The sequence below is a fragment of the Homo sapiens genome, chromosome 6 (genome assembly GCF_000001405.40).
Source record: "Homo sapiens chromosome 6, GRCh38.p14 Primary Assembly".
Lineage (NCBI taxonomy): Eukaryota > Metazoa > Chordata > Mammalia > Primates > Hominidae > Homo > Homo sapiens.
Window position 1 is genome coordinate 152551145 of NC_000006.12, and position 19934 is coordinate 152571078.

Below are 19934 nucleotides of genomic sequence, written 5' to 3' on the forward strand. Positions count from 1 at the left end.
GTAATGAAAATACCTTTTACCTTGTATCTGTACAGCACTTGAACTTATTCATGTTTTGTATACATTTCTCATTTGGATTCTCACAAATAACCTGCCACGTACACAGAGAAGACCATTAACTCGGATGTGAACAAGGAAGCTAAAGAATAGTGGGGGTGAGGAAATACGCCAGAAATCTAGAAACTGGAATGAAGGCTGAAGAGTTACAGAATAATGAACAGTATTTAGTAGTCAGACTCTTACCCTAATCTAATTTTGACCAGATCAATTTGCTGATTATTTGATTCACTAATTTAATGAATTCCACTGTGCCCCTCACATGTACCAGCCGTTCTGCTGACCAGCTGTGGATGCAATCTGAGAGGATGGGTTTGGTCCCTGAGAGTCCATCAGGGAAACAGGAATCAAAAAGAATTACATCACAGTCCAAGTTTTGTAAATGCAAAGAAAAGTTCAGAACAGTGACATGAAATATATTAGTATATTTAAAAAATATCACTTCTACATGATTAAAGATTATTCTTGTGGAAAACATGAAAGCCTACCCTCCTACTGTTTGCTACAATGGAAGCTAAGGAGAAAATGCTGCCTTCACATCTAAGAGTTTTCCTACTGAATTACATATAAAGGTGCATGTTAATGAAAACATGAAGACAACTGATCTCTTGGATGAAAGGTTATTTCCAATCAGAGAGCACACACAGAAGCCTTGAGAAGGACTTCAAGCTGAGGCTGGACAAACTTGCCACATGTAGCCAGCTCCCTCCTGTAAAATGTGGCGTCTCCTGCTTTTGCAAGAAAGCCACCAAAACTATGAAATATTTTCCTGTTATGAGCTCTTAGCAATACCAGGGCACCAGAAAGAAAGGGAGTCTTGAAAAATGTCCTGAAATACTACCTTCATAGAACCACTTTATTTTAACCTGAAACTGTATTCCAATACCAAGAGTTTCAACAATTCAAAATACATTGTTTGGTGTGGAATGGGGAAAAGGGGGGAGAAAAGCTGGTCACAGTGTTCGTATATTTTATGTCCAATATTTAATCCAGACTTTTAAAAAACCCACAGTTCTCTCAAACAAACATGACTGTTCTCAGAGAGTGCTTTCAAAGTTTGGTCGTTGCTTTTCATCAAATTACTGCTCTTTATCTTAAGTAGGTTCAGGATTTTACAATTTTACATTTTCACATTTTGGGATTTTGCATTTCAAATTACTGCTAATATTATTTCTTAGTCTCACCCTGTGATCTAAATGTTCCTTCTCTCTCTCCCTCTCTCATATAAATACTTATATTTATATATTTACATATTTATATTATATATTTATATATTATTTTGTCAGTATCCAGCACGGATACAATAATTTGACACAATTTCACCTATATTTTATACTACCTGTCCCCTTGACAAGACGTAAAGAGAGCTACAATTTTAACAACAAAACTCATAAATCTCAGATGGAGATGAAATGAAAAACAGCAAGCACCTAAAAGAGTGAACCTGAGAAATAAGGTCAAATCACAGAGTTTAAAGAGCCAGTGTTAGAAATTGCAATCTCAAATTCAACCCCCACCATGTAATTCAATTAGCCACTTGGAAGACCTGCACTCAGTGGTTAATCCTGCACAGAGCACCAGGTGGTGCTGTTGCTTTCCGCTGCTTCAGATCTAGCGTGGCGTTAGTGACCCTCCTCATAATAGAAGATCTACTGGACTCCAGAACCTGTGGCCACCGCGGCAGCTGCAGGGGTTTCCACATGAGACAGCAGCTGGTGGATGTCACAAATAAATTTCCTGAGTGTCAATCCAACCTCACATGCTCAAGTTTATTCGTATAGTAATGAATAATTTTAAAGGTTACTTTTAATAATAATAGAAATCTATCTTCTATTTAGAATGTATGTGGCAGGCATATGTTGCATATATTTACTACACATATTATCTAATTAAAACTTTGCAATAACCGTATGAGAAAATATCCTCCACCCTCACCAATTTTACATGTAAAGAGACTGGAGCAAACGAGGTTCATCAACTCCCTTGAGGTGACACAAGACACTAAACGTGGAGCATGGATATCTGTCTGACTCAAAAGCCCATACCTTCAATCACTTCATTCTACTCTCACGTCCAAATTGCCCATTGGGGTTTCCAGAATAACTTTACATATCACAACCTATCTGGAGATAGGCAATGTAGACGCAATTCCCAACTCACAGATGAGGAAACCGTGTCAGAAATGGGTATCTCAGCAAGCAAGTGCCAAAGTCAAATGAAACCCTCCTTACTCCCTTTCCCCCGTACTATATTAAAAACGATATGGCCAGAATCCAGCTGGTCAATAGAGCACCTCCAAGCTAGGCCATGATGCTCAGTTATCTTCCCGAGCTACAAACTATAAAGAGTTCTCCTATCCACGGACATCTTGACCGCCTATCTCCAGTTCTTCAACCTTGTCTATCCTCATTCTCAGCCCATCTTACTACTACTTGAGCCTCCTCAACAGAGCAGGAAATGTTTATGGGAACTGGCTCACCTATGAATCCACAGAATAATTTTCCTTTCACATGTCTATATTTGCATCTGCCTTGGTATTATTATTATATCATGTGTCACAGGTCAGGATAACAGGGAAACAAATTCTAGAAGGAATTTTGTCAGCAGGAGGTTTTTTAGCATGTGCTCTCAAGAACTAAAAACTTTAAGTGTGGAGAAGCAGAATTAGGACACAGGGAGATGCTGGACTCATGCAATTATGCAGCTGAAGCTAGGAGAGTCTTTCAGAGATGTCCAAAATGAAGGCAAGGGGCTGGGACTTTGCATCCAGGTATTGGCCAGTTGCTGGATATGGGGTGGCCCTGGGAGGAGGTATAACTTGAGAAAGGCAGATCCCCGGGGCTGAGGACCAGTCCTGGGGAGAGGCTCAGCTGTGAGTCTTCAGCAGGCAACATTTGGAGAGCTGGGAATGAGGGCCTCAGAGCTGAGGGGCATGGTCTGCACTGTGCCCCAGTCATCTGCTGCACCAGCTACAATGTTAACTACTAAGCTCTAAAAATTTAAACAGTCCCAGTAACAATGAGAATAGCAGCACGGTCCCAATAATAATGAGATCAGTAGTTCTCATTAGTTGTATGCTATGTTCGATACACTGCATTCAAAGGGGGTCAAGATTTGCTCCTATTTCTATTTGGGACTACAGCCAAACACTTGACCACCAAGAGATGCTGCCTCCTCCATTTATTTCAAAATGAACAAAGTGTTCAAGGCCCACTTTTGCACTTTTCTGAGGACTGGATCAAAAGTCTGAGGACTTCTGGATCAAAAGATCGATAGTGCAAGGACAGGGAAGGGGCCATAGCTTTCTTGAGGCAGCCAATCATGGAGTTCTCCAAACCATCTTAGACATCTTAGTTTTTTTTATCAGTTTCTTACTAATTCATATGCTTCCTCAGTTTAACCAACCAAACTTGGTTGTATATTTCTACCCTCTGAGCCTGCCTATCTAAGGTACCATTTTACTTCTCTAACCAGACAACTTTGGCAGCCACTATCTAGTTCTCCCCTCTGACCTCCATATCATCATCCACCCTTTGCATAACTATTTCTCCTGAATATGATACCATTTTTCCAGTTCTTAAACATCATCACCCAAGAGCCTACACAAATAAAAAACATGGATTGCCAAGTAGTGGCATGTAGGCAGAATCTGGGCCCCAAATGTATTTTCCTTCATCCTGCAACCTTCCAAGAAAACATTTTAATTTAAATGTTTGTAGGTAGGACTTAAGTTCTAATTTTTACACAGACCCATCACTTTCTTTTGTCTTTAACCAGTTACTTCTCAAATCACCAGAAGGTAATGAGGTTTAAGACATCTTAAAAGAGGAAGACTTATATTTCAAATACTCATAAATGGGAAGTGAGATTTTGAAAAAGCAACATGATGAGAAATCTTAGGAAGAGCAAAGAAGTAAAATAGAGACTCTTGATTTTAAAATAAACTCATATTTTTTGTTACAATTATTATATCTTTGTCATAGATATGTTGTGTCTTTGGGGAAATTGGAAAAGATATTCTGTTTACATTCTCAATCCGTTCCCCCAGTATAAGCATATATCACATAACATTTCAGCCAATGATGGACCACATATACAACTGTGGTCCCATGAAATTATAATACTGTATTTTTACTGTACTTTTTATGTTTAGATATGTTTAGACACACAAATATTTAACATTGTAGTACAATTGCCTACAGTGTTCAGTACAGTAAAATGCTATTCAGGTTGATAGCCTAGGAGTAAAAGGCTATTAACACATAGCCAAGGTGTGTAGTAGGCTATGCCATCTAGGCTTGTGTAAGTACCCTCTATGATGTACGCACAATGACAAAACTGCCTAATAATACATTTCTCAGAATGTATCTTCATTGTTAAGCAATACCTGATTGCATTTTAAATTAGTATATGTTTAAGCAAGTATATTATTTCACTGAAACCCAGAACAATTGGAACCCAAGAAAAGTTACTTGCAATGATGTAAAGACATGAATGAATTCATGTAATTTGATAAATAACAATATAACATGTTGGTATTTTTACATATAAACAAACATCATAACTAAATTTCAATGAGTTATAAGAATGCATGATATATTTTATATAAAACTTTAGAAAATATGAGAATCTACATCCAGAGTAAGCTTGTTATCAGTAAATTCCATGTAGAAAAACCAGAATAAAACTTACTACTGTATCTACATTTGTTTCCTAATAAGGAAAATGGTTCAGCTACCTATGTCCTGAAGGTAGTCACTGAAGAGAAACTGCTGTGATGCCAGAGGCAAACTTGAGTGCATCTGATTATCATCTTATATGTAAACATAGTGAAAAAGAGGTAAAATTCTGAGGCACCCTCACATTTTAAAAGAGATCTGAAAACAAAGTGATATCAGCAAGATGGCATAATAGCAGTTTCCAGTGCTCATTTCCTCACAGAGACATCAATTTGAACAACCCATTCACATGCAACAAAAATATCTGCCTGAGAGCTAAGGAATATAGTGCCTGAGTAGAGCACAGAAATAAACACATACATTGAAGAGGGTATGAAGAACAGTTTTATATTACCCACCCATATCACCCCCTTCCCAAGCCTGTACTGCATACCATGGAGAGATAACTTCCATATGAGGGAGAATAGTGAAGTGAGCACTTGACTTCAAAGTAGACTCCAGCACTTGCCCCAGTGAACTCTAGTGTCAAGTTGGCCCCTTCAGACCGAGGATTTGGGCCTGCCCATGCAGATCTGTGTTTCAGGACTGCCCTCACAGACCCAAGTGCCAGACCAACTCCAGTACAGGATGACCCCCATGAACTCAGACCAAAAGCCCACCCCACTGCCTGACTGTTTTCTGTGGACTCAGGTTTTAGGCCATCCTCCACAGACCCAGTCTCCAGGCCCACCACAATGGACCATAGTCCCAGCTTTACTCCCATGGTCCAAAATATCAACTCAGCCCCTATAAGCTAAGATGATGAGAGGACCATCTGTCCCCTGACGAAAACATCAGGCCAGTCCTCCCAAGGATTTCAGCAGCATGCCTATCCATGAACCCTTCCAGCTGACCTTTTCAGAATCCTTGGTCAGGCTGACTGATGAAGGGCTTTCCCTGCTAAGGCCAGTCTGAAGACTGGCAAATGTGCCTATGTCTTCAAATGCATAGGCACCAGCTCAAGGCCACAACAAACCAAATATCAGAGAAATATGACACTACCAAAGGGGCAAGTAAAATACTAGTAACTGACTTTAAAGAAATGGATATCTATGAACTGCTTGAGAAATAATTTAACATAATCTTCTAACAAAGAAGCTAAGTGAGCTAAAGGAGAACACAGAAAGGCAGCTAACCCAAATCAGGAAACAACACCTGAAAAAAATCAGAAGTTCAACAGAGAGACAGAAACCATACAAAAGAACAAAACAAAAATTCTGGAGCTGACGAACACAATAACTGAACTGAAAAAAATTGCATAGACAGCTTCGACAGTAGGTTCAATCAAATAGAAGAAAGAATCAGAAAGCTTGAAGACAGGCTTGACATTATTCAGTCAGAGGATCAAGAATGGAAAAAAAGGATGAAAAGGGGAGAAGAAAGCCTATGGAACATATGAAACACCATGAAGCTAATCAATATACATATTATGTGAGTTTCAGAGGAAGCAGAGATGGAGAAAGAAGAAGAAAGCTTGTTTAAAAAAAATAATGTTAGAAAACTTCCCAAATCTAGACTGGGAAATAAACATTAATATCCATGAATACCAAGAGCCCTAAAAAGATTAAACATAAAGAGATCTTCACCAAGATACATTATAATCAAATTTTCAAAAGTCAAAGACAAAAAATTTTGAAAGCAACTAGAGAAAAGTGATTTGTTATGTATAAGGGAAACTCCGTAAGATTACAAGCAGTTTTCTCAGTAGAGACTTGCAGGCCAGGAGAAAGTGGGATAATATAATCAAAGTGCTGGTGGGGGAAAAATACTGTCAACCAATAATACTATATCCAGAAAAGCTGTCTTTAAGAAATGAAGGAGTGATAAAGACCTTCCTAGATAAACAAAAACTGTGGATGTTAGTCCCTACTAGAACTACCTTACAAAAAATTAATGTTAGAGTTCTTTGAGTTAAAATAAAAGAAAGCTAATTAACAAAATGAAAATATATGAAAGTAAAATCTCATTGTAAAGGTAACATATAGTCAAATTCACAATATCCTAATACTGTAATGGTGCCATACAAGTCACTTTGATATAAAAGTTAAAAGACAAAAGTATTAAAGACAACTAAAGCTACAACAATTTGTTAATGGGTACACAATATAAAAAGATGTAAATTGTGACATTAATAATATAAAACATGGGGAGAGGAGAAGTTAAAGTGTAGTTTTTGTTTGCAGTCAAAGTTAAATTGTTACCAGCTTAAAGCAGACTATTATAACTATAAGAGGTTTCATGTAAGCCTCATGTTACCACAAAGAAAAAATCTGTAAGTAGATACATAAAGATAAAGGAATTAAAACATACCACCACAAAAAAAATCATCAGATCACAAGAGGATGGCAAGAGAGGAAGAACGGAATAAAGTAACTCCAAAATAGAAAACAACAGTTTGTCAGTACTGGGTCCTTGCCTACCAATAATTATCTTAAAAGTAAATAGACTAAATTCTTTAATCAAAAGACAAAGAGTGGCCAAATGGATTAAAAAGTATAAGATCAAACTATATGCTGCCTACAAGAGATTCACTTTAGCTTTAAGGAAGCACATAGTCTGAAAGTAAAGTTATGGATTAAGAAATTCCATGTAAATGGTAACCAAAGGAGAACAAGGATGGCTATCCTTATATCGCACAATGTAGATTTTAAGTCAAACACTGTCAAAAGAGACAAAGAAGATCATTATATAATGACAAAAGGATCAATTCATCAAGAGCACATAATAATGTAAGTATATATTTACCCAACATCGGAGCACCTAAATATATAAAATGAATGCTAACAGAATCGAAGGAAATAAACAGCAATATGATTAATAGTAGCAGATTTCAGTACTTCACGTTTGACAATGGATAGATCATCCTGACAGAAACTCAACAAGGAAACAATACATTTGAAGAACACTATAAACCTAAACAATGTAACAGATGTATATAGAATATTCCATCCAGCAACAGCAGAATACACATTATTTTCAAGTGCACACAGACAATTCTCCAGGATAGATAATATATTAATATATTAGACCACAAAACAAGTCTTAACATATTTAATTTTTATTTATTTATTTATTTATTTATTTATTTATTTATTTATTTATTTTTAGAGAGAGGGTCGCATCTGTTGCCTGGGCTAGAGTGCAGTGGCACTCACTGTTGCCTGGGCTAGAGTGCAGTGGCACTCACTGTTGCCTGGGCTAGAGTGCAGTGGCACTCACTGTTGCTTGGGCTAGTGTGCAGTGGCACTCACTGTAGCCTAGAACTCCTGGGCTCAAGCAATCCTCCCACCTCAGCCTCCTGAGTAGCTGCTGGGATTACAGCTGAGTGCCACAATGCCCAGCTAATGTTTTAAAATTTTTTTGTAGAGACAGGGTCTCACTGTGTTGCCCAGGCTGGTCTAGAACTCCTTACCTCAAGCAATCCTCCCACCTCAGCCTCCTAAAATGCTGTGATTACAGGCATGAGCTATTGCTGTCTGGCCTCTTATCATATTTAAGAAAGTTGAAATCATGTCTTCTCTTTTCTGACCACAAAAAAACATAAAACAAGAGATCAGTAATATGAAGAAAATTTGAAAATTCTCAAATATGTGGAAATTAAACAATTCATTGAACAATCAATGGGCCAAAAAATAAAAGGGAAACCAAAAAATATCTTGAGATGAATGAAAATGGAAATACTACCTACAAAAACTTAGGAGATGCAACAAAATAAGTTCTAAGAGGATGGTTTATAGTAATAAATGCCTACATTTTTAAAAAAAGAAAGATTTTAAGCAACCTAATTTTATACCTCAAGGAGCTAGCAAAAAGAGAAAGACTAAGCCCAAACTTAGGAGAAGGAAGGAAATAACAAAGATCAGGGCAGAAATAAATGGAATCAAGACTAGAAAACAAGAGAAAACAATCAATGAAACTAAGAGTTGGTTTTTGAAAAGATAAACACAATTACAAACTTTTAGCTAGACTAAAGAAAAGAGAGGAGATTCAAATAAATAAAATAAGAGATATTACAACTGATACTACAGAAATATAAGGGATCATAAGAGAATATATGAACAATTGTATATCAACAAATTGGATAATCTAGAAGAAATGGATAAATTCCAGACACGTACAATCTACCAAAACTGAATCAAGAAGAAATAGAAGGCTGGGCATGGTGGCTCACACCCGAAATCCCAGCACTGTGGGAGGCCGAGGTGGGCAGATCACTTGAGGTCAGGAGTTCAAGACCAGCCTGAACAACATGGTGAAACCCCATCTCTATCAAAAATACAAAAAATAAATAAATAAATTAGCTGGGTGTGGTGGCATGCACCTATAGTCCCAGCTACTCGGGAGGCTGAGGTGGGAGAATCGCTTAAACCTGGGAGGCAGAAGTTGCAGTGAGCTGAGATGGTGCCATTGCACTCCCGCCTGTGTGACAGAGCGAGACTCCATCTCAAAAAGAAAAATAAAAGAAGAAGAAGAAATAGAAAATCTGAGCAGGCCAATAATGAGGAAGGAGATTGAAGTAGTAAGAAAAAATCTTTCAACAAAGAAAATCCCAGGACCTGATGGTTTTATGTGTGAATTCCATCAAACATTTAAAGAAAAACTAATACCAATCTTTCCCAAACTGTTTAAAAAATTAATGAGAATGAACCACTTCCACACTCATTTTATAAGGCCAGCATTACTCTCATACTAAAGCCAGATAAGAATACAAGAAAAGAAAATTACAAGCCAATATCCCTGATAAACATAGACATGAAAATTCTCAATGAAACACTAGCAAACCAAATTCAACATGACCATGGTCGATGGGATTTATACCTGAGATTCAAGAATGGTTCACTATATGCAAATTAATCAATGTGATATACCATAATAATAGAATGAAAGATAAAAGTCGTATGATCATCTCAATAGATGCATGAAAAGCATCTGACAAAACTCAACATAATTTTATGATTAAAAACTCAAAAAATTAGGTACAGGAGGAATGTATCTCAACACAATAAAGACCACATAAGAAAAGCCTACAACTAATAGTATAGTGAATGGTAAAATGTTGAACATTTTTCCTCCAAGATCAGTGAAAAGACAAGGCTGCCCACTCTCACAGAGTGCTATGTTCTATTCAACATAACACTGAAATTCCTACCCAAATCAATTAAGCAAGCAAAAGCAATAAAAGGCATCAAAATCAGAAAGGAATACATAGACTTTTGTTTGCAGATGACATTATCTCAAATAGAGTAAACCCTAGACTCCACCAAAAAAATGGTTATAACTGATAAATTTAGTTAAGTTATAAGGTACAAAATTAACAAACAAAATTCAGTTGCATGTCTATACATAAACAATGAACTATCCAAAAAGACATTTTTTTCAAAAAATAAATTTTAAAAATATTCTATTCACAATAGCATAAAAAAGAATAAAATACTTAGGAGTAAATTTAACCAAGGAGATAAAAGATCTGTATAATGAAACAATAAAGCATTGATGCAAAAAACTGACAAGGCAAATACATGGAAAGATATTTCCTTTTATGGATCACAAGAATCAATATTGTCAAAATGTTCATATTACCTTAAATGATCTACAGATTCAATGTAACTCCTATCAAAATTCCAACGGCATTTTTAATAGAAATAGAAAAAAAAGTCCTAAAAATTGTATGGAACCATCAAAGACCATGAAGCAATTTTAAGGAAAAAGAACAAAGCTGGAGGCATATTTCCTGATTTTAAATTATATTATATAGCTATAGTGATCAAAACTGCATGGTACTGGCATAAAAAAACAATACATGGATTGGAACAGAAAGCACAGAAATAAACCCATATATAATATTCAGTCAATTAATCTTTGAAAAAGGCATCAAGAATACACAATGGAGAAAGACTGTCCCTTCAGGAAATGGTGTTAGGAAAACTGGCTATCCACATGCAAATAAGTGAAACTGGATCCTTATTTTACAACATACACACAAATCAACTCAAGACAGATTAAAGATTTAAACGTAAGTCCTGAAATCATAAATGTACTAGAAGAAAACATGGGCAAAATAGCTTCTTGATATTGGACTAGACAATGATTTTCTGGATATGACCTTATAAGCACAGCCAACAAAGCAAAAAGAGGCAAATAGAATTGCACCAAACTAAAAAGCTTCTGCACAGCAAAGGGAACATCAACAGAGGGAAGAGACAACCTAGGGAGTGGAGAAAATATTTGCAAACCACACAATTGATAAGGGATTAATATGCAAAATATGTTAGAAACTCAAAAACTAAATAGCAGAAAAACAAACAAAGAAAACGGGCAAAGGACCTGACTAGACATTTCTCAAAAGAATACATACGAATGGCCAATTACAAGAAAAAATGCTCGACATCACAAAACATCAGGGAAAGCAAGTTCAAACAACCATGAGACATCACCTCATGCATTAGGATGTATATTATCAAAATAGCAAAAGATAACAAGTGTTGGTGAGGATGTGGAGAAAAGGGAACCCTTGGACATTGTTGGTGAGAATGTAAATTATTACAGACATTATGGAAAACAGTATGAAGATTTCTCAAAAAAATTAAAAATAGAAGTACCATATGATCCAATAGTCCCACTACTGAGTATATATCCAAAGGAAATGAAATCAGTATATCACTGAGACATCTGCACCACCATATGCCCTGCACACTATTCACAACAGCTAAGATGTGGAATCAACCTGTCTATTGACAGACAAATGGATAAGAGGGATAGCATTAGGAGAAATACCTAATGTAGATGATGGGTTGATGGGTGCAGCAAACCACCATGGCACATGTATACCTATGTAACAAACCTGCACGTTCTGCACTTGTATCCCAGGACTTAAAGTATATATTTTTTTAAAAAACTCTAAATATCAATCATCTAAATTTTCACTATTCAGGCTTTCACTATAAATGCTGGTTTTAGGTTTTCCAAAATGATGAATGTAAATCAGTATTATTCATTTCACTTCCACTAGTTTTAGGTTCAGATACAATAGGAAGAAAAGATTTTAAACTTTTAGAGTTCTTTTAAAGTCTACTCCACACATTCATCTTTTGGTACGAAGTATTTCAACTCAAATTATAATAGAGGAAAAAGAGTACACACACACACACACACACACAGAAAGAGAAAGAGACGGAGAAACACACATAGAGACAACAATAACAAAATAGTACCTTTTATCATACCCGGAGTCTTGTAGATTGTTTTTATCATATCTCACCTATTTTACTGATTTTGGTAAATTATCCTAATTCAGTCGTATCTAAACCAAACACAGCTTTCACCAAGGGAACTTCCAACTCTCCTAGCAGCATTCTCCTGATATTATCACTATAGCAACATCTCTATAAAAGCATACTATTCTTCCCTCATTCTTCATCCTTACCCCCTGCTTACTAGCCAAATGCACCGCTCCCCAGTGCCAGCGTGTCTACAAAGACAGTGCTCATATCGATTTATAAAAAGTGCTTCAGATGCACTTTTGGTGAAAAAAAAGAGACATTTTTCATTCGATATTTAGAAAATTAGGCATTTTATCTTATTAAAATCCTAGTGTTGATTGTGGTAATTGTTTCACAATGAGAAATATATCAACTCATCACATTGCACACCTTGAAAAGATATATTGACATGATTTTTATGTCATCTCAATAAAGCTGGAAAAAATTTTAAAAATCTTAATAACTTCTAAGGGATTTTTGTTGGAAAAAAATCGTCCAACTTACAAAAACTTCCAGAATTGTTACTTTTGAAATTTAATTCTAGAATTTGGGAGAAGAAATTAAATGGACATTTTTTAGATCACTATTACATAGGCATTTAATTTCTTGTATTTTTACACAAGATATAATCTTGTTTATTTCTGATTTGTTCTTTGAACTTTCTGGAATTTTTCCCAAATATCTAATATTGCAAAACACTCATTACAAATTATAATTGCCATACTAGAAATACACATAGCAAGTTGCCAAGAGAATCACACCATTTTTTTGAAACTTGCAAACAATATTGGAGAGGTTTGACATTACTTAAGCACATAAAATATCAGTTAAAGAAAGAGCCTTACAAAAGACAAACAAATATAGGTGTAAGAATGTACAAAGAATATTTTTTAAATTCCATTTTATACTGCGTAAGACAATCAAAGACTAGATTTTTAAGCAAGAAATGTTTACAGATGTGTGAGACTCTCCAGGTCTAGAATCAAATAATTTCTTGGCCTGGGATTTCAAGGAAAAACACGAATCAGTTGTAGCCTACTCATGCCTATTAAAACACCACCACAAACAAAATCACTGGTGAAAATGTTTTCATTTTTCTGACTCATTTAGAGTAAGAAATGTTTGTTTTTTGTTTGTTGTGGTTTGGTTTTGGTTTGAGACAGGGTCTCACTCTGTCACCCAGACAGGAGCGCAGTGGCATGCTCTCGGCTCACTATAGCCTCAACCTCCTGGGCTCCAGCAATCTTCCTGCCTCAGCCTCCCAAGTAGCTGGGACTACAGGGGCATGCCACCACACCTGGCTAATTTTTGTATTTTTTGTAGAGACGGGGTTTTGCCATGTTGCCTAGGCTGGTCTTGAGCTCCTGAACTCAAGTGATCTGCCCACCTTGGCCTCCAAAAATGCTAGGATTACAGGCGTGAGCCACCGTGCCTGGACAGGAACGTTTATTATAACATCAAATTTGTTAACCCCCAAAAGTTTGCTTATAAAAAATGTTAACTATTCTCATGATTTCTAGGGAAAAAAAAATCAAACTCACTCTTCAGTAGAGGCCAAAAGAAATATGAATTTCCTCAACAGACTTTGGGGTCTAGGAGTGCAACAGATCCGACTCGGGATCCCAGCATCATCATTTACTGCGAGAATTTCAAAAGGTGACTTAGCCACTTTATAGCTTCATTTAGCCATATGTAAACTAGAGACAAAAATAATAATGAAAACCTCCTAGAATCACTGTAAATATTAAGTTAGATATTTTATGTAAATGCTGTGTCCAACACTTATCACATAGTATTCATTCATCAATAAATGTTAGTTACTTGTTATACTTGTTTTTACTCTTATTGATTTAAACATGATAGCAGCAATTAACTTCTCTTAAGGGAATAGAACAGACCATTGCTTTCTTTTATTATTAGAATATGTATTTAATAAAGACAGGGAAGCGAAGAAGTTTCTAGAAGCCAGGAGAAACCTGATCATTAATTTATGTGGTTCCTTTTGCCTCCACTAGCTTCAACACTAAGAAAGAGGGCCTCTTGTGGAATTTAGACATTCAAAGGTATATTTACTGAGCAAATCCAAATCATTGGTTTCAATTTATCTTGACATGTTCAGGCCAATTAAGTTAGTTAATTACTGGGAATAAAGTAATCCTGAATCCTTAAAAGCTGGGCCCACAACCTAGTATTCATTCCTAAGGGCTAGCAGATTTGTCCTCCAGTATGGCATATGCAGCAATTTAAAGTCAGGGAAAAGTATGGACTTATTAATACTCTTTGGCATTTACTGGCACTGCTATTTACCCTCTATTACGTGCTAAGTGTCTGACGACCCAATACCCATATATTCAACATTAAATCTTCAACCTTATAATTCTTGAAATTCTCATTTGGTATTCACTCAAGACCCAGAAAAGGGTCAAAGGTTGCTAAACTTTACTTCGCTTTAAAATCTTCCCTTATTCAGACAAGTTCCCTGCTGAAGTTTAAAAAAAAAAAAAAGGAGGCTCTAAGGAAGGGCATATTTCTAAAAAACTGAAAAAATAAGAGGGAGATGGTTTTCAGTTGTTTTACAAATAGGATTTCTTGTCCTTTTCAATTTCTCACTTAAGCCTTATTTCCATTTGGAAATCCAGCTACTCAGTGCCAACTAAGGGGGAGGAACTGTGGGGTTTAAAAGTTAGAATAAACATCGTTTGTAGCCTTAAATGAGGACCAGTCTTCTTAAATGACTCAAGAAACATTTACTGCACACAAATTATGTGCAAAGCACTGACTACATACATGGGTGATGGGAGCAGAGGGCACAGGGGCAAGGAGAAAAATAAGATACAAAACCTAAACCTAATGTCCTTGTAAACTTAGTTCCTTTACATCCTTGAAAAATTATTTTTTTCTTCCACAGCACTACAGCTGTGTATAGGGAAAAACAGGGGAAGAAGAACCAAGCAAATGTAGCAGCTTCTAGCTCCTTACCCCTCCAGTGTTGAACCTGGGGTGTGTGTGAAAAACCAAGGTTAAGCATCACAGCCCACTGAGATAAGAGTGAAGGAACAAGGGATGACGCAAGGTAACACAGAGATGCTGGCAGGTTTGAGAAAAACATGTTCTCGCTTCTCAAGCTGAAGCGAGCAACTAGCATGACCTTTCTTTGTATTTTCGTTTTGCAGTGTCAAGGGCAATGTTGTTTCTTTTCAGGAAGAAACAATACCAGCTTTGAGAAAAAAAATCCACATTAAAAAAAAATAGCAGCTATTAAGAAGTGTGAGAGGAAGGAGGTGCAGAGGGGACACAGGAAGATCCAAGAGCAGCAAAATATAGGTTCAGAGGCAATTTGAGTCCAATCCACCACCTTTCAAATTAAATTAAAAGCATGGTTAAAAGAGCATTTTTGGCACAAAATCTTAAATTCACGGTGCTGTAGGATAAGGCTTAGTGGGATTATCAACAGAGTGTGGATGCCAAATGGACATCAGGCAGGAAGAGAAACCACAGATGCATTTTCAGCAAGGTGTCTTTATAGGATTACTCCACCTAGAGCTTGGCCTGACTCAAATATTAATTTCACAAACAACCGCAGTTGTAAGAGTGACTTCCATTATTTAAGGGCCTAATCTCGGGTAGAATAACAATCCACAAACACTTTTTTTGTGGCACTGCCAAGCATCTTTTGTTTTTCAACATATGATTTTAAACATTAACTTGTTATTGTATATATTTAAGTTGTATTACATGATGTTTTGATACACATAGTGAAATAATTACTACGGCCAAGAAAACTAACATATTCATCTCTTCACATACTGTGTGTGTGTGTGTGTGTGTGTGTGTGTGTGTGTGTGTATGCGTGTGTGGCAACTGTATACCCTTTGTCCCCCATCTCCCTAAACTGCTCCATCCCTCTGCACCTGTTAACTGCTGTTTCACTCTCTGTTTCTATGCATTTGCCTTTTTTTAGATTTACTGTTTAAGTGTCATGCAGTATTTTTCACTTAGCGCAAGTCTTCTAGGTTCATCTATGTTGTCAAAAGTCGCAGGACCTCCTTCTTTTTAAAAGCTGAATAATATTCCATTATATATATGCCACAATTTCTTCATCCATTCATTTGTAGATGGATGAATGCTAAGCATAACCATTTTAATCATTCTGTTAATAACTCAGCCAATGAAAAAGATTTTTTTCCCATTATAATATAAAACTGTACGTTATTTTGTTTTCCTAACCTACACAGTGCTTACATGTTTCTTTAATAGTAAAGATCGTAATTAGCCTATAGTGAAGTATATATAACAGATAATTTGGATGCTTCTATTGATTTTTTTGTCTCCATTATTACCACTGAGTCCTTCTACCATCTGCTGAAGCAAAGGCAACAGAGAAGAATAAAAGAAGAACAGAGTATTTTTTCAACTGCCATGATGTCTCCAGCCTGAAACTCTCCTTCTATTCCAATGCTAACTAGTTATTATAGCAGTAACTTTGCACTTACAGATTTTTGTGCAAAATCCAAGAAAAAAAAGTAATCTTTATTGTCAAAAAATAGCTTCCTGGGTGCTTTCTGGAGAAAAGGAGGGCGGTCTGACTTCCTCATGTAGAAAATCTCAGATATGAAAAGGAAAAGTAACAAGGGAAGGGAACACATTGCTTGTCCTATCAAATATTAAAAATAAAATGTAAAAGGTGCATTAATTAAAGCAATGTGGTAACAGAGAAAGAACACACCATAGAATGCAATGAAATACACAGTCCAGAAAGAGACTTGTGTCTATCTAGACAAAATGAGAAAGATCATTTGATGAATAGTTTAGGGAAAACTAGAGGGCAAATGAAAATAGAAAAAAAAATCATTGAGAACCTCTCTTTACACCAAAATAAATACCAAATGGTTTAGGGAATTAAAATAAACTATAACAACTACCTGAAAATATAGTAAATATGCTTAATAATGAAGACAGACATTTTAGGCCTAAAAATAACTAAAGAGGAATAGGTTTCATTGCATAAAAATCAAAAATACATATCCAACATATTATAAACATAAAGGCAAAGAGTATAGTGGGAAAATATGTGCTAAAAATATGAGTTAAATTTTTATTTTATTTTATTCTTTTTTTTTTTTTTTTTTTTTTTTTGAGATAGCATCTCTCGCTCTTTTGCTCAAGCTGGCTGAAGTACAGTGGCGAGATCTCGGCTCACTGCAACCTCTACCTCCTGGGTCCAAGTAATTCTTGTGCCTCAGCCTCCCAAGTAGCTGGGACTACAAATGCGTACCACCACACTCGGCTAATTTTTGTATTTTTAGTAGAGATGGGGTTTCACCATCTTGGCTAGAGTGGTCTTGCACTCCTGACCTCAGTTGATCCACCTGCTTTGTGCTCCCGAAGTGCTGGGATTACAGGCATGAGCCACTGCACCTGGCCTATTTATTTACATTTAGAGACAGGGTCTCTCTATGTACCCAAAATAGAGTGCAGTGGCTATTCATGGGTGCAATCAGCACACTGCAGCCTCCAACTCCTCGTCTCAGGGATCCTCCTGTCTCAGACTCCTGAGTAGCTAGAACTACAGGCTCTTGCCACTGCACCTGGCTTAGAATTTTAAATAAAATCAATGAGAAAAATTTTCAGTCCCATTACATTTGTAAGCAAAGATATGGACCAGCAATTCACAAAATGGTCTTTAAAACATATGAAATAAAGTTTTACATTATTCAATTTAAAAAACAATGAGATAAGCATAATATCCAGGGGTAACTTTTAAACAAAAAGAAAGAGATTTTGAGCTGTAATAAGTTGCCATTTTTGAAAGCCAGTATTTTTAACTCTTATAATGAAGATTAAGTAACATTAATGAATTAGTTCTTTATTGCTCCTAGTCTCAGTATTATCATACATCAGTGGTCCTTAAAGTGCCCAGAGCAGCAGCATCAGCACCACCTGGGAACTTGTTAGAAATGTAAATTCCTGGCTCCAATCCTGACCTACAGAAGCAGATCAGCAATCGGCTTTAACAAGATACCCAGGTGATTCTTATGCACAATCAAATTTTGGGATCACTGTATGGATCATAAGCTGTAGAAAATTTTGTGGTGCAGTGGTTCCCAGCATGCATCCAATTTCCTGGGTTTAGTTTAATCATCACCTTATGGGCAAGTTATCTAGATTCTCCTTTCAGTTTCCTCATCTGTGAAATGGAGGTAATGATGGCACTTGCCTCATAAGGTTGTTGGTAGGATAACAGAAGTTTATGTTTGAAAAGCATATGTATCAGTGCTTATATAGCTTAGCCCATTGTTAAATTTAGATTTTTTTAAGTAAGTTTAATAAAGAAGAGAAAAGACCATATTTTAAAGATTTAAAAGTAAAGATAATCAATAATTACACTGTGAGAAATGACAACTAGATTTGCATATCTGTAGTAGAATAGAAAAAATGGGTCATAAGCAGCTTTAGGGATGATGAGAAGAAATGGAGGAAGAAAAAAGAATATACACAAGCTGCATCCAAAATACTCTCAAATACTCTGCCAGTGGAGAGCCACACGTATAATTAATTCAGAGATCTTCTTGGAGATGGCCCTAGAAGTGTGAATTCTTGCACTCTGCCTAAAACAATTTGGGTATATAAACCACCTCTCTTTGATGGTAAAGATATGTTTGTTTGATTTTTGATGCTAGTAAAATAGCTGTAGAAACAAGTCTTGAGGCCATACTTTCATAAAATAAATACACCTTTATTAAATTACAGGTGATCTGAATACGATCTTAGCCTGTCATTAAGATGTGTTCTTAGTTATTTCAGTCTACTGAATAGACTGACCTGCAATTTAGTTTACAATTTAGTTTCTGAAATAATTTAAAAACAAAAAGCATAAGTCTAGCAATTATTTCGTGTTGTCTAGACCCTGTGTGACAACTCTGCTGAATTCTTCAATTATTTCCATGTTAATAATAACTAAATAGATCATTATGAAATCACAGCAAAATAAAAAACACAATCTTCCATTTTCTGTTGCTCCTATGTTCTTTCTCAGCACCAAGCTATATAAAAGTTAAAACAGTTTATTTCCTCTATATTATGTAGGTATTTGATTGTCCCGAACACATCAAAATATTACGCTTTCAGAAAAATCTTTTGAATCTCTGCCTATAAAACCATTACTATATCATATATAAAACTCATACTCTTCCTTCTCTGTGTATAATATTTAGATTCTCTCCTGTGAACAGGATAGCCAGGGAATTAGCATACCTTTTGGGTCAGGTAGATGGGGTAGTCAGTGAGATCTCCGAAAAACAAAAAGGTTGCTTGTTAAAGGCCAACGTGGTCAACTTGACCCTTTTGGGGAGGTGCAGCCTTGCCAGCACTAGAGGCTGGACTTGCTGAGGCCACGTTGGATCTCCAGTCTCAGCACTGGGTTATTTTAGTCCTTCATCCCAACAAACTTCGGGATGGGTGGTGTGCTGCACCTATTCCCACCAGGAAGCGGGTCTTGCAGATTACTAACAGCTGTTCCCTTAATCAGAGGCAATCAAAACAATGGTATCCCCTTCCTTCTACAAATTAATAAAGGGAGCTATCTAGGAAGGTTCAGTCCTTACTATCATGGTAAGAAGTCTTTCTTTTGTAGTGTACCTCACTAAAGAGAAAGACAAACAAGCAAACAAAAAAACTCCTACTCACAGCAATAAGTAAGGTAAGCATCTATCTAGGAGCTCTCTCCTAAAGGCAGCCAGATGCGGAGGAATTCACGAGACTGCCCTGCCCAGTCTCAGAAAGGGATGCACAAAGGGGGATTCATCCCATTGCTCAGAAAGCAAGAAGGGAAGGGACTTTGCTCAGAAATCAAGCTGCTTATTTAATTTGATGTTTACTCTGGTCTTTTTTGACCTACACA

The 19934-nt window shown here is 36.4% G+C and overlaps 1 protein-coding gene across 46 annotated transcripts in view; it reads right to left on the minus strand.

Annotated features, from left to right (window-relative positions):
• SYNE1 (spectrin repeat containing nuclear envelope protein 1) overlaps nucleotides 1–19934 on the minus strand; it is a 515676-nt gene that overhangs the window by 429458 nt on the left and 66284 nt on the right. For 2 of the 46 annotated variants that reach the window (XM_017010612.2, XM_017010611.3), the window contains exon 1: nucleotides 11987–12150. The exons of the other annotated variants lie outside the window; for them this stretch is intronic. In XM_017010612.2, the coding sequence (XP_016866101.1) occupies nucleotides 11987–12026 (40 nt within the window). In that variant the 5' untranslated portion in view covers nucleotides 12027–12150. Of the gene's footprint in view, nucleotides 1–11986; nucleotides 12151–19934 lie in introns of those variants that run through there. 46 annotated transcript variants of the gene reach the window in all.